The sequence below is a fragment of the Homo sapiens genome, chromosome 17 (assembly GCF_000001405.40).
Source record: "Homo sapiens chromosome 17, GRCh38.p14 Primary Assembly".
NCBI classification, from domain to species: domain Eukaryota; kingdom Metazoa; phylum Chordata; class Mammalia; order Primates; family Hominidae; genus Homo; species Homo sapiens.
The window spans coordinates 79,941,753-79,966,531 of NC_000017.11; the positions used below are offsets into that span (position 1 = coordinate 79,941,753).

Consider the following 24,779-nt stretch of genomic DNA (forward strand, 5'->3'; position numbering starts at 1 on the left):
GTCCTGTCCGTCAGCCCCGGTGAATTCGTTCCCTCCTCAGCCAGCGAGGGAGGCTCCTGTGTCAGGGCTGGCACCCCAGGAAAGTGAGGTGACACAGCCAGGCCGAGACAGGTGCTGACCACGAGGCCTTAGTGGGGAGCCCCCAGTGCTATGGGTGGGGGAGGGCACGTGCTGGGGGGCCATGGTGGGGATGGGGCTCTGGGGGCGGGGCCCACATCTGGGGCAGCCTCACCTTTCTGAGAACGAGCTGGTGGGGTGGGGCTTTGGGGGCGGGGCGGGGTGGGGCCCACATCTGGGGCAGCCTCACCTTCCGGAGAACGAGCTCCCCGTTCATGTGCATGGCCAGGTTTCCGAAGTGCAGGAGCATCTGGTCCGTGGCCAGCTGCTGCTCGATGACGTCATCCCCGTAGATGGCCACGATGGCCACGCAGATGAAAAGGTGGAAGTAGTCCGTCTGTGGAGGCGGGTAGAGTTCAGACACGGGCTCTGACCGAGCCCCAGGCCCTGCACTCAGGGGGAAACTGAGTGCCAGGGTGCGAGTGAGGGCTCCAGGGCGAGGGGTCTGGGCTCACAGCCCAGCTCGGGGGCCGTGTGGCCCTGGGCAAGCTGCACCGCCTCTTCGGCCCTAAGTTTCCCCACCTGCACATGGGGTCTGTCCCAGTACCCGCATGCCCAGGCTGCTGTGACATCCAGAGGGGACGATGCTGAGCTCAGCCCCCACGGGCTGCTGCTGCTCTCCTGGGTGGTGATGTGGGTGGTCTCCATGACAGGGTGGGGGTGGGGGGGTACAAAGAGCACCCTTCCTCAGAAGGCCTGGCCTGTGCTCATGGGGAGGACTCATTTGTAATGGTCCTGAGCAACGGTGTGTGCGGAAGTCTGGGTCAGAACTCACTCCAGCGGGTCATGGAATGCGCCTCTGGCAGCCACCCACGGGTCAGCCTGTCCTCCTGGCTCCAGGCCACACCCCCCAATCATGCCCCAGAGATGACTCTAGGGTTTGTGGCTAGAAAAGTGGGAAGATCCTAACAGAGCGGGCACAGCAGCTCACCCACAGGGTGGCTGAAATGATCGCCCTGTCCTTGAGCCTCTTTTCGGGCATACTTTGAGGACTCCGCAGCCCTCCCTTTAAAGACCGCCTCACGGGGCCTGCCAGCAACGCGCTGTGTGCAGCAGGAAGCCCACGCCAGGTCCTGACGGCTGCATCCTGTGTGCTCTCCGGCCTGGCCGCCTCAAGACACGCCACCTTTGATGCACACGCGCTTCCGGAGGCACAGGAAGGACGGGGGCACTGGGAAGTCCATGTTTAGTCTCCTGACGTCGACCACACAAACCAGACGGAACGGTGTCCCCGGCCCAGGCTGAGCGGAGCACACCATGAGGGCAGAGGCTACAGGTGACTCCCACGCCCCAGCCTGCTCCTGGAGAGACCATGCACCAGGCTGCCCGGCTGCTTCCTCTGAACTAATCTGGGACGGTCTTGTTTTGGCTCTGACGGATCCTTTTGCAGTGATTTGAACTGTGGCTGGTGCGAGACACAGCGGAGGGGTTGCAGGAAGGTGGACGCCCAGCTTCTCTGGGAGAGGAATGTGGGGAGGGAGAGGGAGGGCACGATCTCCACAGCCTGCACAGCATAGGCAGATTTCAGTTCCCAGGACAGGCAGGGCGTAGGGCCGTCCAGCCCCACCACATGCTGACAGCGGACGGATAGCATCAAAAGCCTTTCTCGCTCAGGGGTCACTGAACAGTTAAAGGCCTCACCTGGCAGCAACCTTCCCATTCCACAGAGCTCACTCTCAGCTCATCAGCAGCCCACCCCCACCCCCACCCCGTAATACTACCAAATTGATCGAGGGATGGGACCGACCGTGGCTAAATCAAGCCCACAGTCTGAAAACAACAGAAACTTGCTTTGTGGACTTCCAACACAATGGCAGCCAACAGAGATCCCACGTCACGTGGGCCTCCCGCTGGAATTCTGACTAGATCTCATTACACTTGGGACACAGTAGGTGTCCATGGGAAAGGGACCCATCTGCCGGGCCACGCGCTGAGTTCACGGGTAACATCAGCCTGAACGTAAAGGAATGAGGGCGGCAAATCTGCCACTGGGAAAACGTGCAATGAGGCACGATTTTTTTTAATTCGGGAGTGGTGGGAATGAAGCCTCTCAGACCGTCCATGCCGTGCTTCCCTTCGTTAATGCAGATCGTCCACCCTGCACGTCCACGTCCAGCAGGCTGAGCCAGGAGGGAAACCTAGACCCGGGCCAGGGGCGAGCCGATGACCGCATGCAAAGGCGGCGTGTGGTACCGGCACTCGGTGGCTTCAGACTCGCTTTCATCAGACATCAGCCCCCTGCGGTGTGAGTGAGGACAGGAGACGCTGACGCAAATGTCTTCCAGCAGATGGGTGTTTGCCTCCATCTTCAGGGTTCTCTGACGGAGGCTGCTGGAGCTGCCGTGGTGGATAGAGCCAGCTCCTGCAAAAGGGTCCAGCCCTCCTGGATGCGTCGATGTGAGTTTTTTTTTTAAAAGGCTGATGGACTCAAAGAGACTTGCTTATCTTTTGACATCTCCAGCTTGTCCCTAGTTTGGGCGTTAAGGCCATGTGACAGAGCCAGTGCTGTGCTCCAAGGGGAATTTGCTGAGAAGATGCTGGTGACGGTGGACGGAGAGTGGAAGTCGGTATCACTGATTGGGGCCCTCTGGAGGGGCCGACAGGGAAGTGGGATCTCAGGCCCTTTCTCTGCACAGCAGGGTAACGGGTGAGTCGGCCCTCGTGGCAGGGCGGTCCCGAGGGGGTGGAGCGGTGCTGGCTCACGCTCGTGGGCACCAGCGTCCTGGGCTGCTGTGGCCTAGTGTAGGCCCCCCACAGTGTCACTCACACTGATTGGTTGTGACAGGAGGGAGCTCAGCCCCAGAAAGTGGTAATGAGTGCAGTCAGCGGGCAATTTGCATCGATTTCAGTGACTGGGGAGGCGAGCTGTAAGGTCTGAAGCCAGCCACGTGGGACGGGAAGGCAGTCGCCGTATGGGGGGCTAATGTGTGGCTGTGGGTGGGGGGCGGCGAGGCGGACAGGGGCAGCAGGCAGGGTGGCCACGGTGGTTCAGGGGCCATGGTCCCAACCTCCCCAGCCCTGGCCCCTGCCCTGGTCACCTGGTAGTGGGCCCAGCAGGCCTCCCAGATCCGCAGCGCTTCGGCCTCGGGGAACTCCCGCTTGAAGCACAGAAGGAGCCAGCGGTGGCAGAAGAGCATCTGCAGGCCGTCCTCGCCCAGCGAGACCAGGTGCTGGTAGAAGCGCACGTGCGTCAGCCGCAGCAGCTCGCGCAGGTACAGCTGGGGGTGAGGCCGTCACGCGTTAGTTAGCTCCGGTCCCATGCGGCCTGCTGCCCAGGAAGCCCACTCCCACTGGGGCCCTTCCCTGGGCCACCCCAGCCTGGAAAAGCACACCCAGGGGCCTCTACCTGCTGCATGTGCCTGCCCCCCCAACGCTCCATTCCGCCGCTGGAATCGGCTCACACCTGCCTCTGCCAGTTCCTCCCAGATCTGACTGTTCCGGAGGCTGTGGTGTGGTCCAGGGTGAGGCAGAGTGTTGTGCCCGGGCGTGGCAGGACGCTGGCAGCCGCTCCATGGCCAGGAAGGCTCCCCACCCTCAGTGCACACTTGGGGGCTGTTTCCCACGTCCACTCCTCCTGGTGAGGTGAGTGGATCATCCAGGGAGCCCCCCCACCCCTCTTCGGCTACGCTCACCCAGATCTATCATCTTCCAGAGCTGTTTTAGGGCAGGAAGGGGACGTATCTGAGCCCCAGGATGCTCGATTCCTGCCATTAAGGTCATCTCCCAATGATGTGGGACAAGATCGGGGCTATTTCTGGCAGCACTCGGGCCCAGGCCGCTGACTTCATCAATGCCGCTGGAAAATCAATCTCCAGCATTCAGTGAGTCACCCAGCCATGCGCTGCCATGAGCCGTCAGAGGCGAATGGCGTTGGACACTGTAACTGCCTCCCCAAGCAATGTGGACACCCGACGTCACACACACCCGTTGATGCAGAGTGAGCAGGCTTGGCTGGGTTCAGCCCCCCGGCCCAGGTGGAGTTAGATCACAGCTGGGGGGATCCTGGGGCAGAGCTCGGGGCCACATGCCCCCTTCCCACACAGGTGGCCCATTGTTCCCACGGGAGACTGCGCTGAAGCTGTGCGGCCAGCCCTCCGCCCTGTGGCCTACGGCCAGGTCAAGCCCACTCGTGTGGCTGACCCCCTTGCAGATGCTCCACTCCCGCCCCCTGTGCAGGTGCCTGCACCTCCCTGCTTGGGCTCCTTTGCCTTCAAATCCTCTCTGTTGGCATCAGCTCTCCCAGCCTGTCATCAGCGACCCACTAACAGTCAGTCTATAGCAGCGGTCCCCAACCTTTTTGGCACTAGGGACCCGTTTCCTGGAAGACAATTTTTCCACGGACAAGGTAGTGCGAATGGTTTCAGGTTGAAACTGTTCCCCCTCACATCATCAGGCATTAGATTCTCATAAGCAGTACACAACCTAGACCCCTCACATGCTCAGTTCACAGTAGGGTTCTCGCGTTCGAGCTTCTGTGAGAATCTAATGCAGCCGCTGATCTGACGGCAGGTGGAGCTCAGGCGGGAATGCTCGCTGGCCCGTCCACCGCTCACCTCCTGCGGTGCGGCCAGTTCCTAACAGGCCATGGACCAGTACCAGTCCTGGGCCTGGGAGTGGGGATCCCATTCTATGAGACACACTCCGTGGCCTGGGGCTGGGGAACCCCGTTCTACAAGTCACACTCTGTGTCCTGGGGTGGGGACCCCATTCTACAAGTCACACTCTGTGTCCTGGGGTGGGGACCCCATTCTGAGACACGCTCTGTGTCCTGGGGGTGGGGACCCCCGTTCTATGAGACACACTCTGTGGCCCTGGCCTTCAAGGCCCTCCATCAGCTCCACCCTCACTACTTGTGACGGGTCTGGTCCAGGAAGACCAGGTCACTCAGTCCCACCACTGGGACTGCTCTGCTCAGCCCAGCCTTAGCGACACTCAGGGCCAGACCCCACACACCCTGGAGCTGTCCCCGGTGCAGGAGCCCTCTTGTCCTTATCACGGGCACCTCCCACAGTGCTCCCCGACACCCAGCGTCCTCTGCTCACAATGCCAGCTTCCTGGCCCAGCCAGGAGGGTGAATGTCTGGTGACTGCACCCGGCAGGCACTTGGTTGACATGGGTGATGTGTGCTGAGAACAGTGAGCAGGTGCCCTGGCTCAGCCCTGGTTCGGTCCCACACGCTGGCCCTCCGGCGCTGCCTTACCCAGCTGGGCTCAGCCCCACCACCGACATTCAGTGCTTCCTGGTCTACATAGGGCTGGTCCTTTTGAGGAGGCCTTGACGGGAGAGGTGTCAGCAGGGCACCCCAGGGGAGGGGTGGGGTGTGAGGACTGCCCCAGAGACCTCAGGGGGTTTCAGGAGCCCCTCCTCTTCCTGTCTGCACTCAGAAGCCCTGGCTGTGTTGACTCCTGCAGGGAGCAGCTTAGACACACCTGAGGACCCATTTTCTAAGGCTCAGAGGGGGCTGGGTGTGATGGTGCCACGTCTTCCTTGCCAGCCAGGGAGCTTGGGCCAGGTTGTCACGTGCAGGGGTGGAAGGCCACCAGAGCGGCCCACACAACGCGGCCTCTGGACCTGCAGGGAGTCAGAGGGCCATCCCCGGAGGCCGAGATAGGCTAAGCCGCCCATATCCCACGGGCAAGTCCTATCCTGGCGTTCCCACTGCCCACTGACCTACAGCAGCCAAGCCACGCATCACCACGGCAACCCCGGCTACAACGGGAGAGGCAACACGGGCCCTCACATGCCCTTGGACGCACCCATCCCCCTGAGCCTCACCAGTTGTTTCTCCATGTCCTCGTCCCGGGGTGAGCTGACGAAGATCGTGTTCTGCATCAAACCCACAAAGCACCAGAAGGTGTCTGACTCATCCAGGACCTCGGCCAAGATGGGCGCCACCAGGTCCGACATCCCTTGGGAATAGCCGACGGCAGGGTTGTACACGGCGTAGTTCAGCAGGATCCTCCTGGGAGGCGGTGGAGACAGCAGTGGGTGGGGATGACCCTCACCGCGGCACACTGCCCAGCCTGCAGAACCCTGGGCCGTGGACCCTGCCTTCCCTCGCTTGCCTTCACCTCAGTGGAAGGCAGCTGTGCCACCATCTCAGAGCCCAAGCTTAGCTTCCAGACACACAGACCCTTGCTTTGCAAAAGGTAATGGCCTGGCCGGGCGCGGTGGCCCACGCCTACAATCCCAGCACTTTGGGAGGCTGAGGTGGGCAGATCACCTGAGGTCAGGAGTTCGACACTAGCCTGGCCAACATGGTGAAACCCTGTCTCTACTAAAAATACAAAACTTAGCCGGGCATGGTGGGGTGCACGCCTGTAATCTCAGCTACTTGGGAGGCTGAGACTGGAGAATCGCTTGAACCCGGAAAGCGGAAGTTGCAGTGAGCCGAGATCACACCACTGCACTCCAGTCTGGATGACAGAGCGAGACTCCGTCTCAAAAAAAAAAAAAAAAGTAATGGCCTGCTATTAGCTGCTGTCTAGGCCCAGAATCTTGAGAGCAGGGGTTAAGGGGGAACATGGCTCTGATTTTCTGAAGGGTGGACTGCCTGTGACAAGGGGTGGGCTGGCAGGGACATTTCTGTGGGCTGCTAATTTTGTGCAATTATTTGCTAGGCTGTAGCAGAATGTCACAGATGCCAGCCTCTGGCTCTGTGTGGCTGTATGACTACGGGACCACCCACGGGGAGATGGAGGGGGTGCATGGGGAAGCTGGTCCATGGTTAGTGTGAGCCAAGCAAGGACAGGCTTGGTGGTGCCCAGGGGATAGAGGGGCTCTGTGGGCAGGGACCTGGGTGGCTTCCCTGGGATGCCATGGCTCTGAGATGCCAACTGACGTAGCTCATGAGTAGCGTATCCTTCACTTCTGGGGCTTTGATGTATGAACCTGGAAGAGAGCCCCTGCAGAAACTCGCTGGGGGCTCATCCACTTCCCAGAGCGGTCAGGTGAGGCTTGCAGACTTGCAGATGGGAAAGGAGCTGGCTGGGGAGGGAGTACCTCATGCTCTCCACATTGGGATTGTCTTCCCCCCGGAAGAACTGGTTGTTCCGATCTGTCCGGACCACGTCTTTGTCCACAGTGAACTGCACATTACGCCAGAACGCTCTGTGCTCCTCGGGAGTCATGGAGAGCCTGTGTGGAGCCGAGCACCCAGCCGGGGTCAGCGGGTGGCACCCAGAGGCATCGTGTGGCGCACACACTGCAGGAAGCCACCCTTCCTCCCAACCCCCGTTCCCTGGACGGGAGCTGGGCGGCTGCTGCCGGCTGCAGACCCTCCCCGGATGCGGCGGATGGGTGGCGTGTATCCAAGGCTCTCCTTGATATTAACTCAGCCTCACAGTCTCCAGCGTCCCAGGAAGGAGAGCAAGTTGCAGCCCAGTGGGTAATGAGGCCTTGGCCCTGGCCCAGCGTTCTGGAGGGGAGCTGAGCACAGCCCAGGGGCTTCACCCAGTCCCAGCCTCCTGGAGAGAGAGCTGAGCCCAGTCCCGGGTTAGCAGATCCCAAGTGGGACACAGTCTCCGGATGCCTTCACCCCTCCAGGCCCTGCTCCCAGCCCCAGCCTTCAGCTGTGGGACGTCAGCGCCTAGTTAAGTCTGTTGAACGAGAATTCTAAAACCTTGACATGTGAGCTAACGAGCCCCGCAGCTCCGAGGCCCGAGTGCTTGGTTTAATGACTGCACTTATCCCACCCTATCACTCACGTTCCTGGGAGACCCATTTTTGAAAGAAACTATGGGTCACGAAACATATTATCAATGCTGAATTGCACCTCAAATTGCCTTTTCAAATGACATTTTCCTCCGCGGCTCGGCGGGGTGGGCCGGGCTGGCCCCGGCGGTTACCTTTTCTGCTGGATCTCAGAGTACTCCTTTCGCTTCTGCAGCCGCAGCGCCTCCCGCTCCTCCGACGTGGACTCGTGGCTGTAATAGCGCAGCAGGAAGGGCCAGACCTCCCCGCGGATTGACACATCAATACCGCCAAAGAAAATGGCCTGGAGGAAGCGGCAAAAGTTGGGGAGGGGATAAAATGGGGCAGCTCAAAGAACCCCCAAATCCCCAGAGATGTGTGTTTTGGTGGTTTTTGGTGCGCCTTGATTCAGATCTCTGCAATTTGCACATATTTACAAGGGGAAAGCAGTGGCCTTCAATTCCCATACAGGACACAAACCCGGCTCATTTCAATGTCAATGCCCCCCCTGGGGTGGCGCTCAGATTAACGTGTCGTTCTCACGTCATGGCCTAATCCCTGGTTTTGGAAATGCTGCATTTCACTGCAAACCCTTCTATGCAGGCTGACACGGTATCCCCCCAAACCCTCGAGGGAGGTGTTGTGTTTTGTTTTTTTTTTTCAACGCAGCAGCTTTGATTGCTTTATCGGTGTGTTCACAGAGAGCCTCACACAAGAAAACGGGGCCCTCACGAGGAGGTGGCCCGTGGGTGCGGGCGGGCGGCCAGGCCCCGGCCCTCCTTCCCTCTCGCTCGTTCCCGGTTCCCGGCCGGCTCTCCGCGGGGCCAGCTGGGCGGACCCGGACCTCACCTTCCGCAGCTTGTACTCCTCCTCCACCTGGCCCAGCTCATTCAGGTGGTTGAGCCAGGCGGAGACGCCGAGCCTCTTGTACATGCTCTCCTCGGGGTGCGTCTCGGAGGACGGCAGCTTGGGGCGGCGGATGGAGAACTGCATGCATGTCTTATCGGGGGCGACCTGCTGGACGGGAGGAAAACTGGGCAAAGGTCAGGATCTCAGCCGCGCGGCTTCAGAGGCCAGCAGTGCTTTTCCCAGGAATAAAAGCCTCTCTCTCTTCTGAAAGGAGGGCAAGGGCCGTCCCCTGCATACAAACCCCTAAATGGCGAGTGTAATTAGGCGCAATTAAAATGAAAATACCTTCATCTTAAAATCGGTTTCCCTCTGCGGCTCTCTCCTCCCCGGCCCACTGTGCCGCCGCCCCCCACTCTCTCCAACCCCAGCCGCAAAAACGGAATGAATGCCTCGTTCGGCCTAACTTCCCTCTGCCGGGAGGGCCTGCAATGAATTACATGTGATTGGCCACATACAAAGGGATCGCTGTTCTGCGAGCAGGGAGCCAGCCTGTCAGATTGCCTCCGCGAGCAGTCACGAATCCAGGGCAAAACTGCAGCTGACATTTAATTCAAAAATCAAAGGTTGTTCAATGTAGGGGGAAAAAAAGCCATGCTACTGTAATAAGGGAAGCCAGCAGGAGGCTCTGCGGGAAGGAAGGGAATTTTAAAATCGGCCCCATTTCTAATAAGCACATACAGTACCTTAAACAGATAATTAAAGAGCTCTTATTACATTTGTACGTAGATTGAGCAAAATATGGCAGGAAGTCTTGTCAAAACATGATTTTTCAAGTGCAGGGCACTGACTTTACCGAAAGCCCTGGGCAAAGGTTTCAAACCCAAAGTTGCTGCTCTGACGGCCAAAAACTACCGTGGGTCACACCCCGTAAGCCCCCGGGGCCCGGGGACCCCAGACACAGGACCCAGGAGGGAGATGGGGCCCGTGGGGGGTGGGGAGTGTCAACCGCTGGGCATTCTGGGGCCGTCTGCTGGGCTACCTGGTCTTTGAGCTGCATCTCGGTGCAGTATTTCCACTGCTGGAACACGTCAGACAGCTTGTCCAGGCCGCCGTGGTGGAAGTGGAAAACCTTGTACTGGCTCTCTCGGCTGGCAACGACCAGCTGGCCGCTGGTGCAGGCCTCGTCGCTGAAGGGCCATTGGAAGGGGGAGAGGGAAGCCCGATGAATATGTAAACACGGGGGTTTTATTTCCAAGTATAATCAGAGGCCACTGTCGCCAACCTCAGAAGCAGGAAACAGTGAGTCCCAGTGGAGTTGGCTGCTAGCGGGAGGGGACAGAACTACACCGAACAAAAACCACCACCCCCTTTGCCGAAGATGGCAAAACTGCTCCTTCCTGGGGGGCCCTGGAGCTCCTCTCTGGAGACCTGCCAGAGTGGCCTTCTCCCCACCACCCCCTGCCCGGCAACATGGTCCCTGCAGTCCGGGAGACCTGGGTCCCAACGCTGAGTGCCCTGGAATCCAGTTCTGAGCCCTGGCAGGCCATGTGCTAAGAGAACCTCCTGGGAACAGACCTCCTTCGTTGCGTGTGGGTGGAACTCTGGGAGAACCCTCCAGGGAAACTCAGTAAACATCCGTCAGTGCTGTCAGCCCAGCCCCGGCTGCCCTTAGATGAAAGGCTGGAATGTGGCTCTGGGTCTGGGAACCCCCCCAGCTTCTGGACACGCCGGCTTCTTCTAAGCCCGGGCCTCTCATTGGTGATGTCTGCGGCTGGGCAGCCCTGACTATAAGGAGGAGGATCTGGTGTGGGGAATGACTGCAGGAAACTAGGCATCGCCCACCCATCACGAAAGGAAGGGAGCCTCCATCCGGAAAGCTGCGGCCCGTCCCGCACAGGTGGCCGAGCTCCAGAGCATCCCCCGGCGATCAGAGCCGCCGGCAGCTGCTACCCTCTGCCCTGGTTTGGTTTCTTCTCCCAAGCCAGAGTTGCAAGCAACCGCTGGCTACCATCACGCTGAAGGTAGGGGAGTGAGTTCGGTAGCTCACCCAGCCTGAGAACTGTCAGGGAGCTGCAGTGGGGAATCACTGCCCACAAGATCAGCGAGGGAGGAAAGCAGACGCTTGGGAAGACTCCATCCAGGGCCCTGTGTCCCCAAGCCGTGCACTGCACCGGCTGCAAAGCCCAGGCTGCCAGGGAAAACACACACAGGCCAACTCCCAGGAGGCGCCCAGAGATGCTTCCTACCTGAAGAAAAGGCGGAGGGAGCGCATGTGGCCCAGGTCCACGCGGAACACGCCGCAAATCTGCTCCAGGGCGCACACCCGCTGCGGCTCGTCCCAGCGTGGGGTCTGCAGGAGGCCGTTGCTGTCCGGGAACCGCAGGCCGGCGTCGGAGCTGGACGGGGGGCTGGTGGAACAGGTTATGTGATGATCGCCACACTTCTCCCTGCCCACACTACCCAGAGGGGGACGGGGGTCATGGGGGAGTCATTTAAACCTACGCACCAAGCTTAAACACACATACAGGCACGGCTGAATATGCCCTGTAAACACCTGTGAATAAATGAATGTATGAACCCCACTGCACAGTTCTACTTCCACTTGGATGGGAAAGCATTTTCATGATCAAATTCCATTCCACTTCAATAGAGGCAGTAAGTCATCATCGTCCTGACAGCCAAGGTCACACTGACTGGGGTTCCTCGCTGTGTGACCTTGGCCAAGCCACCAAGCCTCTCTCAGCCTTCGTTTTCCCATGGATAAAGAAGGCAGGAGAATAACAAGGCTGGGTTTCCCTACAGCGTGGGGCTGGGCTTTACTAAAACTGGTTGTTTTGGGATGATTTTAGATAGCATGGGGCTTCCGCGTGGTTTAAACCAGCTCACTGTATTCCTGAAAAGTACTGGTTCAGTTTATGCTTTTGGTTAGGAAACATTTGGGTTCTCAGTACTATTAATAACATCATCAGCATTTATTAAAACACTGACTATGGGCCTGGCCCTGAGCTAATGCTTCTCAGGTGCTTTTATTGCAATTAATCTTCACAAAAATCCTCTGAAATGAATAGTGGTATTACCCCATTGTAAAGAAGAGGCAACTGGGGCCCAGAGAGGTTAAGTAATTTGCCCAAGGTCACACAGCTGGCAAGTGGTAGAGCTGAGATTAGAACCCAAGCTTTGTGGCCCATGTTCTCACCAGCATACTGTGCAGCTGTCTGCAGTTCAGCAGTACAACCCCATTTATTCTGTTATTTTTTATGAGTTTGTTACATTCCAAATTGCAAAATATCTTATTATATGGATTCAGCCACCTCACAGGTTAAATCTTGTCTCTTGAGATTTTTTCTTTTTTTCTTTTTTCTTTTTTTTTTCTTTTTTTGAGACGGAGTCTCGCTCTGTCACCCAGGCTGGAGTGCAGTGTGCGATCTCGGCTCACTGCCACTTCTGCCTTCCGGGTTCAAGCGATTCTCCTGCCTCAGCCTCCTGAGTAGCTGAGATTACAGACGTCCACCACCATGACCAGCTAATTCTATATATTTAGTAGAGACGAGGTTTCACCATGTTGACCAGGCTAGTCTTGACCTCCTGACCTCAGGTGATCCACCCGCCTCAGCCTCCAAAAGTGTTGGGATTACAGGCGTGAGCCATCGCGCCTGACACTCTCTTGAGATTTAATGTCTAGCAAATGTCTGCTAAAATAAAACCGGAGTACAGGCAAGACTCAGCTCTGGACCCCAACTGCAGCACCCCACAGAGACTCAGCCGCATTCACCGCACCTGCCTTCCCGTTTGAGCTCAGAACATAAACTATTAGAGGCAATCAATCCAGAGGCACTTCCTCCTCCAAGAAGCACCAGGTCTAAGTAAATAAAGCTCCTTTGGAGGGTTCCAGCACAATCCCTCCCCACTGGGAACTTCACACAGAGAAACCTGACTGGCCTTTCTAGAGCCCTCTACTGCGTCAGGCATAGCCCTGGGCCTGGTGAGTGGCAGGTGGCCTTTCTTCCCCACCTGCCTAAGGAAGTCAGCCGAACAGGTCCTCCCACTGCTGGGGCCCCTGGGCTCTCAAGGAAACTGAGTCAGGTAAAACTAGATCAGAGATGGGCATGTGGGGCCATCACCTGAACTGCCGTGGCTGCGCCGCGGACGGGCCCAGAAGACCGAGGGCTCCTGACATCTTCCCAAGTGGACCCTGCGGGAGCTGCGCTTCAGAATCGTTGCTCACAACACAGGGCAGGTCTCGAGTCTGAGGCCCCACCGCACCCATGGGTGCCCCCTTCTGTCATCTGCTCATTGAACCGCGGGGCTGCTGTGACTGTGAGAGCTGCTGCCCCGTGTGCTGCCTGCTGGCCCGGCCCACCCAGTGGGGCCATCAGAGGGTGGTATCCTTTCCCGCCTCCTCCCCCAGCCTTCTTACCACACCCAACAGCAGAATCCCCCAAACCTGCTTGTTCCTCCCAGCACACTGTGGCCCACTCACCCTACAGGGCAGGCCAAGGTTTCCAGAAACCAGACAGAACACAGAGACTCGCTTTGGCAGTCACGGATGGAGGGCCCCCTCCCTGCTGCCGTGGCCACAGAAGACTGGTCCCCTGGAGGGCCGGAGCCGATTTCAAACCAGGCAAGAGTCCAGGACACAGGGGCCACCACACACCTCCCCCAGCAACGTGCCTCCAGGCAGGAGTTGGCTTAAACCCTCTCGCAACCCCTTAGGGGCAAATTATTTGCATTAATTAATGGATTGATTCATTAATTCAAGATACTGTGCTTGGGACCTACAGCTGGGGTTCCATAAGCTCAAACTAGAGCGAAGGTGATGGAGACCTCAGTTCGCTTTCATTGGGGTACGTCTGGCAGGTACCCCAGGCCCTGTGTGGTCATGGAGGACGAGGTCTGGTGCCCCTCGAGGCCGGCTGCTGTGGGGTGGGGGTTGCATCGTGTCTCTTCATCTTCAGCTCCCAGCCCTGGCTTGGCGCAGAACACACAGACATTTAATACTCATGCCTGAAGTGAAAATGTAAAGTGTCTGGGAATTTTGAAGTCACAGAAAAAAATGTTTAAAGAAAATAAACTACAGGGAAAACGAAATATGTACAGTGTTTTATTTTTGCTTATCTTTCTACACACGTAAAGCAATTTAGTTTTAAGAATATTCATATATGCTGCAAATAATTTAGCTTGTTCATAAAATTATGTGATGCATTGGAACTAAAAGGATGGGTTTTGCAGGCGATAACTCCCAAGATGCTATTACATTAGAAAGATCTCACACATAAAACTAGAAGACGCTAAACTTTAAGAAATGTAGCAGTTCTTCATTTCTATCATTTTCTGAAGATCACCCAAATGTAAAAGCAGTAATGAAAAAAAGTCAGCACTATCACTGGAAAACAAACACAAACACTGGGTTCTCCCTCCACCACAGTAAACTATGCCATGTCAGATACAGAGATAGAGATTTAAAAGGGCCTCAAATTCTTCACAGCTCATCTTATCAAGGATAGCACCTGTCTCTCCACCCCTGAATCTAGGTGGGCCTTTTTTGACCAATAGAATGTGGCAAACATGGTGTTAGGTGAGTTCTGGGGCCTAGGCAGCCCCTCACTCTTCCTCTTGGCACAGTGCAGGCAAGACAGACAGACGAGAGCTCATGAGAGAGACACGCAACTGGCAGTCAGCACCAGAGCCCCGACACCTGTCAATGGAGGCCGTTCCAGACCCTCCGCCCACCCAAGCCTCCTGGTGGCTGCAGCGACCTGAGTGAACTCCAGGGAGCCCAGCGCAACAGCCTGTCCCAGCCCAGCCCAAACCAAAGGTCTGTGAGCAAAGAAGCGGTTTTTTGTTTGTTTGTTTGTTTTTTAAAGACAAGGTCTCCCTCTATCCCCCTGGCTGAAGTGCGGTGGTGCAAACACAACTCACCGCAGCCTCAGCCTCCGGGGCTCAAGCGATCCTCCAGCCTCAGTCTCCCAAGTAGCTGGGACTACAGGCACTCACCACCACATTTGGCTAATTTTTGTATTTTTTATAGAGATGGGGTTTTGCCATGTTGCCCAGGCTGGTCTCAAACTCCTGAGCTCAAGCGATCTGTCTGCCTTGGCCTCCCAAAGTGCTGGGACTACAGGCGTGAGCCACCACGCTGGGCCCGGTGGTCGCTTTAAGTTGCTGAGTTTGAGGGCGGTTTGTTTCACAGCAACGGATCACTGACACACGCAGGACAAGCCAGCTCTCAGAAAAAGCTTGAAGGGGAGGAAGAAACCTTCAAACATATTGAGCTGTGGTTCTCAAGGTTACCAGGGCCAGATTTTAGCATTATTTAAAATACCTAAACTGCTAAATTTCCTCTTGCTTTTCTTCATCCTGAGCCTTTTAAGTTTGCTGAAAAAAGTCGATGAGAACCCAGCTGTAGGTCCCAAGCACAGTGTCCTGAATTAATGAATCAATCCATTAATTAATGCAAATAATTTGCCCCTAAGGGGTTGTGAGAGGGTTTAAGCCAACTTCTGCCTGGAGGCACGTTGCTGGGGGAGGTGTGCGGTGGCTCCTGGGTCCAGGACTCTTGCCTAGATAGAAACTGGCACTGGCCCTCCAGGGGACCAGTCTTCTGTGGCCACAGCAGCAGGGAGGGGGCCCTCCACCCGTGACTGCCAAAGCGAGTCTCTGTGTTCTGTCTGGTTTCTGGAAACCTTGCCCTGCCCTGTAGGGTGGGTGGGACACAGTATGCTGGGAGGGATGTGTAGGTATTGGAGGAGTGAGCAGGGCGTGTTCGGTGTGCTGGGTTGGGAGAGGAGGCTGTGATGGGAGAGGAGGCTGGAAAGAATGACACCCTTTGGTGGTCCCCCATAATTGCCAAAACCTGGAAGCCACCAAGATGTCCTTTGGTAGTGAATGGATAAATAAGTTTAAATAACTGTGGTGCAGCCAGACAAGGGAATATATTACTCATCATTAAAAAGAAATGAGCTGTCGAGCTGTGGAACAACACGGAGGGAACTTCAGTGCGTCTTACGAAGGGGTTTACTAAGTGAAGGGACCCACTGTGACAAGGCTGCACCCTGTGGGATTCCAATTCTAGGACACTCTGGAAAAGGCAAAACCATGGAGACAGTGACAAGACCAGTGGTTGCCAGGAGCTGGCGGGGAGGTAGGAAGGTGAAGCACGGAGAACTTTTAGGGCAGTGACACACCGGCATGACACCAGAGTGGTCACGGTGACAGGTGTCTTTATACATTTGTCCAGACCCATAGGATGTACAAGACCGAGTGTGAATGCCGACAAACTATAGACTCTGGGTGACAATGACGTGTGGGCTCATGAGTCGTAACATGTGTCCCACTCTGGTGGGGGAGGCTGTGCGTGTGGTGGGGGAGGGGGTGGATGAGAATTCTCTGTACCCTTCACTCAGTTTTGCTGTGAAACTAAAACAGCTTCAAAAAATAACATCTATTAAAAAAAAAAAACCAACAAAACAAATGAATAGCCAAAGAAACTGGGACACATATATGATAAAGATTAACATCTTTAGTATGTAAAAAAGTATGTAAATTAAAAAGAAAAATATAAATGCCCAACAGAAAACTGGCAAAAGGAAAATAAAAAAATTTAGTAGAGAATAAATACAAATAATGAATAAAATTTCCAGGCCCAGGGTAATGAAATAAATGGAAATAGAAACGGGATAACATGGTGGGGGGATGGTTTATGAAATTGGCATCAATTAACAAATTATAAAATCTAGTGTGGTAAAGGATTTGGGGAAACAGACATTCTCATTCAGCTCAGGGGGAGAAAGAATATAAACTGACCAATTTTTTTTTTTTTTTTTTGAGATGGAGTTTTTTGCTCTTGTTGCCCAGGCTGAAATGCAATGGCAAGATCTCGGCTCACTGCAACCTCCACCTCCCGGGTTCAAGCGATTCTCCTGCCTCAGCCTCCCGAGTAGCTGGGATTACAGGCGCCTGCCACCATGCCTGGCTAATTTTTGTATTTTTAGTAGAGATGGGGTTTCGCCATGTTGGCCAGTCTCGTCTGGAACTCCTGACCTCGTGATCCGCCTGCCTCAGTCTCCCAAAGTGCTGGGATCACAGGCGTGAGCCACCGCGCCCAGCCCTGACCAAATATTTCTGAATGGCAATTTGGAAACAAGATGCCAAAGGCTTAAAAATGTTTATACATTTTGACTTTTCACTTCCATTCCTAGGAATGAATCCTAAGGACATAGCCAGAGGTGCCCACAATAAAGGCATACATGCACAGATGCAGAAAAGCATTCGACAAAAATCCAATGCTCATTTATGACAAACCTGTCTACAAACTAGGAATGGAAGAGAAGCTCCTCAAGCTGATAAAGGCACCCACAGATATTCCACCGTTAGCGTCATACTGAATGGTAAAAGATGGAATTGTTTTCCCCCAAGAGCAGGAACAAGGTAAGAATGCCTCTGCTCCCACCACTTCTAGTCCATGCTCTCACAGAGGCCCTGGCCTCTGCATCAGGCAAGAAAAGGAAATAAAAGGCATAAAGACTGGAAAAGAAGGAACAGAACTGCCCCTATTTTCAGTTGATACAACTGTTCATCTGAAAAACCTCATGGAATTTATAAAACAATCTTTAGAACTAATAACTGGATTTCATAAAACTGCAGGATAAAAGGTTAATAGAGAAAAATTAATTGTATTCTTAAACAGTAACAATGCACAATTGGAACATGAAATAAATAAAACATTAAATTTATAGTAGCAAAAAAATCCCCACATAAAATACTTCGGAATAAGCCTGACAAAAGACATTCAAGAACGTCATACTGAAAAACACAAAAATTGCTGAGATAAGTCAAATAGGATCTTAAGAAATGCAGAAATGCACCATGTCCATAGAATAAAACCGTCAACTTGGTTAAGATGACAATCTTGCCAAACTGATCTACAGATTCAACACAAGCCCAATCAAAATTCCAACAGGAATTTTTAGTGAAAATTGATAAGTTGACCCTAAAATTTGGAGCTAGTATAACCAGAGCGACTATAAAAAAGAAGAACAAAGTTGGAGGATGCATCTGACTTTGAGACCTACATAGCTATCATCAAGAAAGTTTGGTATTGGTGAAAAGATAACTATGGTGAAATAGGCAAATAATCAATGGAACATAACAGAGTCCAAAAATATCAATTGATTATTTACAAAAGTGCAAAGACAATTCAGTGGAGAAAGGATGGCTTTTCAATAAACGATACTGGATCAACAGGATATCTGCATGAAAAAAATTAACATCAACTCTTTTCTCCCATCACTCCCCCAAATTAACTCAAAACGGATCACGGACCTAGATGTGAAACCTTAACTAGGAAACTTCCAGAAGAATCCGTAAGAGAAAACCTGTGTAACCTTAGAATAGGCCCAGGTTTCTTAGATAGAACACAAAAAATACAAACTGTAAAAGAAATAATAAATTGGAAAATTAAAGACTTTTTTTTTTCATCAAAATACTCCATTAAAGGAAACAAAAATGCAAGTCACAGACTGGGAGAAAATATTCACAAAACATATAGTCAACAAAAAACTTGTATCCAGAGTATGTATAAGAAACTGTTAAAATGAAATACTATTGTTACACAAAGGTTTCTTAGACCAGACACCAACATATGACCATAAGTGAAAAAAAAAATTAATCTTCATTAAAATGAAAACCTTCTACTCTTTAAGAGATATTGTTAAGAAAATAAAAAGATAAGCCACAGACTGGGAAAAAGATATTTGCCAAATGCTTATATGATAAAGGGCTTATCATATAAGTCAGTAATATGCTTTAAATCATCATTCTATACAGAATATAGAAAAGGTCCTCAAAACAGTAATAAGAAAACACAATCCAAACATGGGCAAAAGATTTGAAAAGACATTTCACCAAAGAGGATATTCAGATGGCCAAGAAGCCTATGAAAAGGTGCTCGACAGCATTCATTATTAGAGAAATGCAAATAGAAAGAAACCTCAATGCAATCTAAAGGAACATGATGTGATCCACTACACATCTATTGGAATGACTAAAAAACAAATGAATGAGGCCACGAGCAAGGCAGTTCAAGCTTGTAATCCCAGCATTTTGGGAAGCTGAGGCGGGTGGGTCACCTGAGCTCAGGAGTTCAAGACTAGCCTGGGCAACATGGCGAAATCCCGTTTCTGCTAAAAATACAAAAAATTAGTAGGCATCGCAGTGCACCTCTGTTATCCCAGCTACTCCAGAGGCTGAGGCAGGAGAATCACTTGAACCCTGGAGGCGAGGTTGCAGTGAGCCAACATCATGCCACTGCACTTCAGCCCGAGCGACAGAGTGAGACTCTGTCTCAAAAAAACCCAAAAAACAAAAACCCAAAAAAAAAAAAAAAAAAAAAAAAAAAAAACGAAGGAATGAAACTGACACTGTGAGTGCTGGCCAGGAGGCGAGCAACAGAACTCTCCTACAATGTGACGGGAAGTCAAATGACAGAACCACTCTGGAGAACTGTTTGGCAGTGTCTTATAAAGTCACACACACCCCTACCATATGACTCAGCAATGCCCCCTAGGTATTTACCCAAAATACATGGAAAATGTTCACACGAAATCTGTGTGTGAATGTTTATAGCAGTTTTATTCATCATTGCAGAAAACAGGAAATGACACAAACGTCTTTCAGCTGGTGAATGGCTAAACAAACAATGGTACATCTTAACAAGGGAATACATACGCCTCAGCAATAAAAAGGAGCAAACTGCTGATATGCATGACGATATGGAAGCATCTCAGTTGTATTATGTTAAGTGAAAGAAGCCAGACACAAAAGGCTACATGAGAAGATACTCAGCATCCTCTGTAGTCAGGAAAATGCAAATTAAAACCACAATGAGATACTCCTACTCACCTATTAGAATGGCTACAGTGGACAAGACTGATCATAGCAAGTGTTGCTGAGGACATGGAGGAACTGGAACTCTCACGGACTGCTGGTGGGAATGCAACACGGCAAACCACTTTAGGAAAGCAGTTCAGTAATTTCTTAAAAATTAAACACATGCCTGTTTCCAGTTATTCCATTCCCAAGTATTTACCAAGAGAAATAAAAACATATGTCCACGTGCAAAGACTTGCACATAAATGTGTGTAACAGCTTTATCTAAAATAGCTAAGAACTGGCCAGGCACAGTGGCTCACGCCTATAATCCCAGCACTTTGGGAGGCCGAGGCTGGTGGATCACCTGAGGTCAGGAGTTTGAGACCAGTGTGACCAACATGGTGAAACACTGTATCTACCAAAAATACAAAAAATCAGCCAGACGTGGTGGCGGGCGCCTATAATCCCAGCTACTCGGGAGGCTCAGGCAGGAGACTTGCTTGAACCCTGGAGGCAGAGGTTGCAGTGAGCCAAGATCACGAGACTGCGCTCCAGCCTAGGCAAGAAGAGCAAAACTCCATCTCAAAAAAATAAAAATAAAAATAATAAAATAAAATAGATAAGAACTGAAAACAACCCAGGGTTTATCAACAGCCAATGCAGTAATGAATCGTGGTCTGTACATACCATGGCATACTACTCAGCTGTAACACGCAGTAGCATGGACGCATGACAAAATTATTATGCTGATTGAAAGAAGCAGGACAAAAAACAAGCACATACTGCATGATCCCATTTACATAAAATTCTAGAAAAGGCAAACAAATCTAGAGTGATGCAAAGCAGATGCAACTTTTTTCCTTTTTCCAATTATTTTATTGTGTTAAAAAATACTTATCATCAAATTTACCATCTCAACCTATTTTTTTTTTTTTTTTTTTTTTTTTTTTGAGACAGAGTCATCTCACTCTGTTGGCCAGGCTACAGTGCAGTGGCAAGATCTTGGCTCACTGCAACCTCCACCTCCCGGACTCAAGCAATTCTCCTGCCTCAGCCTCCCAAGTATCTGGGATTACAGGTACCCGCCACCACGCCTGGCTAATTTTTGTATTTTTAGTAGAGATGGGGTTTCACCATGTTGGCCAGCTGGCCTCAAACTCCTGACCTCAGGTGATCCGCCCACCTTGCCTCCCAAAGTGCTGGGATTACAGGTGTGACCCACCACACCCGGCCCCATCTCAACCATTTTTAAATGTACAGTTCAGGTATTAAATATATTTCTAATATTGTACAATGATCATCACCTTCCATTTCCAGAACTCTTTTCATCTTGTAAAACAAAAGCTCTATACCTATTAAACAATAGCTTCCAGGCCAGGCGCGGTGGCTCATGCCTGTAATTCCAGCACTTTGGGAGGCTGAGGTGGGCAGGTCACTTGAGGTCAGGAGTTTGTGACCAGCCTGACCAACATGATGAAATCCCATCTCTACTAAAAATACAAAAATTAATGGTGGCTCATGCCTGTAACCCCAGCACTTTGGGAGGCCGAGGTGGGCGGATCACCTGAGGTCAGGAGTTCGAGACCAGCCTGACCAATATGATGAAACCCCATCTCTACTAAAAATACAGAAATTAGCCAGGTGTGGTGGCATGAGCCTGTAATCCCAGCTGAGACAGGAGAATCGCTTGAATCCAGGAGGCAGAGGTTGCAGTGAGCCGAGATCGCGCCATTGCACTCCAGCCTGGGCAACAAGAGCAAAACTCCATCTCAAAAAAAAAAAAAAATTAGCCAGGTGTGGTGGTGGGCGCCTATAATCCCAGCTACTTGGGGGAGACTGAGGCAGGAGAAGTGCTTGAACCCAGGAGTTGGAGGTTGCTGTCAGCCGAGATTGTGCCACTGCACTGCCGCCTGGGTGACAGAGTGGGACTCCATCTCAAAAAAAAAAAGCAAAAAAAAAAGCCCGATAACTTCCCATTCCCCCCTCACACTCCAAGCAACATCAACTGTCTGTCTCAATGAATCTGACTACTCCTAGCACCTAATCTCAGTGAAATTATACAGTATTGTCTTTTTGTGACTGGCTTATGTCACTTAGCACAATGTCCTCCAGGTTCATCCATGCCGTAGCGTGGGTCAGAATTTCCTTCCCTTTTATGGCTGAATAATATTCCATTGTACGGATGGACCGCGTTTTGTTTATCTTTTCATCCACCAATTGACGGGTTGCTCTATGTTCTTATGTGAATAATGCTGTGAAGCCATGGTGTCCAGATATCTCTGTGTCTCTGCTTTCAATTCTTTTGGGTATATACCCAGAAATGGAATTGCTGGATGATATGGTCATTCTATTTTTAATTTTTTGAGGAACTGCCATACTGTTTTCCACAGCAGCTGTACCACCTTACATTCCCGCCAGCAATGCATAGGGATTTCAATCCCTCCACATCCTCACCGACACTTGTTAGTTTTTATTTTTTGATAGTAGCCATCCTTATGGGTGGGAGGTCGTATTTCATTGGAGTTTTGATTTTGCATTTCCCCGATGATTAATGATATTGAGTACCTTCATGTGCTTATCGGGCATTCGTGTCTCTTCTTTGGAGACACGTCTTTTCAAATCCTTTGACCATTTTTGAATTGGGTTGTTTGGGGTTTGTTTTTGTTTGTTTGGTTGTTTGGTTGTTTTTTGTGTGTGTCTGTTTGTTTGTTTTGGAGACAGAGTCTTGCTCTGTCGTCCAGGCTGGAGTACAGTGGCATGATCTTGGCTGACAGCAACCTCTGTTTTCCAGGTTCAAGCTATTCTCCTGCCTCAGCCTCCCAAGTAGCTGGGATTACAGACATGCACCACCACGCCCAGCTAATTTTTGTATTTTTGGTAGAGACGGGGTTTCACCATGTTGGCCAGGCTGATCTCGAACTCCTGACCTCAGGTGATTTCGCCTGCCTCAGCCTCCCAAAGTGCTGGGTTACAGGCGTGAGCCACCATATCCGGCCAGTTGTTTTTTGTTGTTGTTGAGTTTTAGGAGTTCTCTATAAATCCTGGACAATTATTCCTTATTAAACATACATGATCTGCAAATATTTTCCCGCATTCTGTGAGTGATCTTTATACTCTGCTGATAGTATATTTTGATGCGCACATTTTTAAATTTTTCATGAGGTCCAGTTTATTTTTTTTATTGCCTGTGCTATTGGTGTCATAGCCAAGAAATCATTGCCAAATTGCAGATAAGACATTGGGGGGACACGAAGAAACTTCTGGGGGTGATGGATCTGTTCATTATCTTGATTGTGATGACGGCTCCATGAGTGTATATTATGTCCAAACTGATCAAATTGTGCACTTTAAACACGTGCAGTTGATTGTACAGTTATACTTCAATAAACTTGTAAAAAATACCACCAATATTCAACTCTCAGTACTATTGCTAAATTTTCAACCATAGGAGAATATTTGAATATATTGTGGCACATTCATATGATACAACGCCATTAAGCACTTATAAAATATTTAATAAAAGTATGTGATGACCAGAGAAATCCTCACACTGTTATGCTGAATGAGGAAAGTAGGTTGCAAAACTATATAAAAATATACTATCAATACTGTTTTATATATAATATATATTGACAGGTATTTTATACCTATGCAAGTGTAGAAGTAGAAAATAATACTAAAACTATAATGTGATCATATCTAGATGGCATGTCTATAATATACTTTCACCGCATTAAAAGAATTTTCTAAAAGGCATAATGTATCATTCTGATAATCAGAAATAATAAGCTAATTTTCTGTATTAATTTTTTTTTGAGGCGGAGTCTTGCTCTGTCGCCCAGGCTAGAGTACAGTGGCGTGATCTTGGTGGCTCACTGCAGCCTCCGCCTCCCAGGTTCAAGCGATTCTCCTGCCTCAGCCTCCCAAGTAGCTGGGATTACAGACATGTGCCACCACGCCCGGCTAATTTTTTTGAATTTTTAGTAGAGACAGGGTTTCACCATGTTGGCCAGGCTGGTCTTTAACTCCTGACCTCAAATGATCCGCCTGCCTCGGCCTCCCAAAGTGCTGGGATTACAGGTGTGAGCCACCGCGCCTGGCCTGTACTAATTTTTAAAAAAAGAAGCCTGTGTTTCTTTTAATATTATAAAACAAAAAAATAATAATTTAGAAAAGAAAAAGGTGAGGCAAAATAACCAATTATCGTCATGGCTACCATTTATTGGAGCTTCCTGTGTGCCAGGAGCTCTCCTAATTGCTTTGAAGACTTCCTTACATAAACCTTGTGGGTGAGACAGCACTCCATTTTATAGCTAAGGAGACCGAGGCCAGGAATCATGTCCCCGGGTTTCAGAATGGCCCACAGCAGGGCAGGATGGACAGCTAGGCGTGACCTATGGGAAGCTCACATTCCTGACTCTTTTGGCATATGCCTTCCAGAGACAGCAGTCACATCAACTGGAAAAGAAGACAACACTCTAAAAACAACATCTATGAAAGAATGCCTCTGAAACTGTGTCCACTTCTCCCCTTCACCCCTGCTCCTGGCTCAGAAACTATCAACAGTCAGCTTTGTCTGCCAGTCAAGCTCCCATCCATAGATGGGCACTGAGCCCGCCCCACACATTGGCCTGGTCGCCTCTTTCCTTGTTTTCCCTGGCATGAGTTTCCTAGGGCTGCTGCAGGAAACACCACAGCTGCATGGCTTAAAGCAACACGAATGTGCTCTCTCACACTTCTGGATGACAGAAGCCTGAAGCCAAGGTGCCAGCAGGCCACACTCCCTCTGAAAGTCTAGGAGACTCCTCCTTTGAGTCCCCCCAGCTTCGGGCAGTTCCTGGCAATCTGTGGCCTTCCGTGGCTTGCAGCTGTATCACTCCAGTCTCTGCTCCATCATCACGTGGCCTTCTTCCCTCTGTATATGGGTCTACTGTGTCTCTGTTTTCTCTACTTAGAAGGACACCACTCACTGGATTAGAGACCACCCTAATCCAGAATGGCCTCATCTTAACTAATTGCAAAGACCCTATTTCCAAGTAAGATTGCAATCTGAGGTTCCAGGTGGACATGAATTTGAGGGAACACTCTTCAATCCAGTATACCCCTTACCATGCCCCCACTAGATCACAGGCAAACATGACAGCTCACTTCCTTTCCATACCCCAGGACCTCCTCTCCCCAGGATTTGCTTATGTGGGTCCCTCTCTCTGGTCGGCCTGCTCTGCCTCTCTCTCTCTTCTAATTCTTCCCAC

General features: G+C 51.5%; 1 protein-coding gene across 31 annotated transcripts in view, besides 10 other annotated features; it reads right to left on the bottom strand.

Moving 5' to 3' along the window:
• Positions 1 to 24,779, bottom strand: part of TBC1D16 (TBC1 domain family member 16) — a 103,530-nt gene that overhangs the window by 9,410 nt on the left and 69,341 nt on the right. For 6 of the 31 annotated variants that reach the window (NM_019020.4, XM_047435350.1, XM_047435358.1 and 3 more), the window contains 8 exons: positions 10,905 to 11,066; positions 9,698 to 9,845; positions 8,659 to 8,826; positions 7,965 to 8,113; positions 7,120 to 7,254; positions 5,893 to 6,079; positions 3,156 to 3,335; positions 308 to 454 (listed from right to left, as the gene is read on the bottom strand). In NM_019020.4, the coding sequence (NP_061893.2) occupies positions 308 to 454; positions 3,156 to 3,335; positions 5,893 to 6,079; positions 7,120 to 7,254; positions 7,965 to 8,113; positions 8,659 to 8,826; positions 9,698 to 9,845; positions 10,905 to 11,066 (1,276 nt within the window). Of the gene's footprint in view, positions 1 to 307; positions 455 to 2,100; positions 2,356 to 3,155; positions 3,336 to 3,520; positions 3,692 to 5,892; positions 6,080 to 7,119; positions 7,255 to 7,964; positions 8,114 to 8,658; positions 8,843 to 9,003; positions 9,102 to 9,697; positions 9,846 to 10,904; positions 11,067 to 24,779 lie in introns of those variants that run through there. The other 25 variants (XM_047435351.1, XM_047435359.1, XM_047435348.1 and 22 more) reach the window with 15 other exon arrangements.
• Positions 1,146 to 1,425: an enhancer, noted in NCBI's record as "active region_12926". NCBI's record gives its function as "activates an Ori minimal core promoter by ATAC-STARR-seq in GM12878 lymphoblastoid cells {active_cell/tissue: GM12878}" and the evidence as "EXISTENCE:reporter gene assay evidence [ECO:0000049][PMID:35858748]".
• Positions 1,558 to 2,283: an enhancer, noted in NCBI's record as "H3K4me1 hESC enhancer chr17:77917109-77917834 (GRCh37/hg19 assembly coordinates)". NCBI's record gives its function as "activates a minimal SCP1, AML or CMV promoter by ChIP-STARR-seq in naive H9 embryonic stem cells {active_cell/tissue: H9 hESC(naive)}" and the evidence as "EXISTENCE:reporter gene assay evidence [ECO:0000049][PMID:30033119]".
• Positions 2,284 to 3,009: an enhancer, noted in NCBI's record as "H3K4me1 hESC enhancer chr17:77917835-77918560 (GRCh37/hg19 assembly coordinates)". NCBI's record gives its function as "activates a minimal SCP1, AML or CMV promoter by ChIP-STARR-seq in naive and primed H9 embryonic stem cells {active_cell/tissue: H9 hESC(naive and primed)}" and the evidence as "EXISTENCE:reporter gene assay evidence [ECO:0000049][PMID:30033119]".
• Positions 5,620 to 6,446: an enhancer, noted in NCBI's record as "H3K27ac-H3K4me1 hESC enhancer chr17:77921171-77921997 (GRCh37/hg19 assembly coordinates)". NCBI's record gives its function as "activates a minimal SCP1, AML or CMV promoter by ChIP-STARR-seq in primed H9 embryonic stem cells {active_cell/tissue: H9 hESC(primed)}" and the evidence as "EXISTENCE:reporter gene assay evidence [ECO:0000049][PMID:30033119]".
• Positions 6,816 to 7,399: an enhancer, noted in NCBI's record as "H3K27ac-H3K4me1 hESC enhancer chr17:77922367-77922950 (GRCh37/hg19 assembly coordinates)". NCBI's record gives its function as "activates a minimal SCP1, AML or CMV promoter by ChIP-STARR-seq in primed H9 embryonic stem cells {active_cell/tissue: H9 hESC(primed)}" and the evidence as "EXISTENCE:reporter gene assay evidence [ECO:0000049][PMID:30033119]".
• Positions 7,400 to 7,983: an enhancer, noted in NCBI's record as "H3K27ac-H3K4me1 hESC enhancer chr17:77922951-77923534 (GRCh37/hg19 assembly coordinates)". NCBI's record gives its function as "activates a minimal SCP1, AML or CMV promoter by ChIP-STARR-seq in primed H9 embryonic stem cells {active_cell/tissue: H9 hESC(primed)}" and the evidence as "EXISTENCE:reporter gene assay evidence [ECO:0000049][PMID:30033119]".
• Positions 7,984 to 8,567: an enhancer, noted in NCBI's record as "OCT4-NANOG-H3K27ac-H3K4me1 hESC enhancer chr17:77923535-77924118 (GRCh37/hg19 assembly coordinates)". NCBI's record gives its function as "activates a minimal SCP1, AML or CMV promoter by ChIP-STARR-seq in naive H9 embryonic stem cells {active_cell/tissue: H9 hESC(naive)}" and the evidence as "EXISTENCE:reporter gene assay evidence [ECO:0000049][PMID:30033119]".
• Positions 9,152 to 9,735: an enhancer, noted in NCBI's record as "NANOG-H3K27ac-H3K4me1 hESC enhancer chr17:77924703-77925286 (GRCh37/hg19 assembly coordinates)". NCBI's record gives its function as "activates a minimal SCP1, AML or CMV promoter by ChIP-STARR-seq in naive H9 embryonic stem cells {active_cell/tissue: H9 hESC(naive)}" and the evidence as "EXISTENCE:reporter gene assay evidence [ECO:0000049][PMID:30033119]".
• Positions 9,736 to 10,319: an enhancer, noted in NCBI's record as "H3K27ac-H3K4me1 hESC enhancer chr17:77925287-77925870 (GRCh37/hg19 assembly coordinates)". NCBI's record gives its function as "activates a minimal SCP1, AML or CMV promoter by ChIP-STARR-seq in primed H9 embryonic stem cells {active_cell/tissue: H9 hESC(primed)}" and the evidence as "EXISTENCE:reporter gene assay evidence [ECO:0000049][PMID:30033119]".
• Positions 14,506 to 15,006: an enhancer, noted in NCBI's record as "H3K4me1 hESC enhancer chr17:77930057-77930557 (GRCh37/hg19 assembly coordinates)". NCBI's record gives its function as "activates a minimal SCP1, AML or CMV promoter by ChIP-STARR-seq in naive H9 embryonic stem cells {active_cell/tissue: H9 hESC(naive)}" and the evidence as "EXISTENCE:reporter gene assay evidence [ECO:0000049][PMID:30033119]".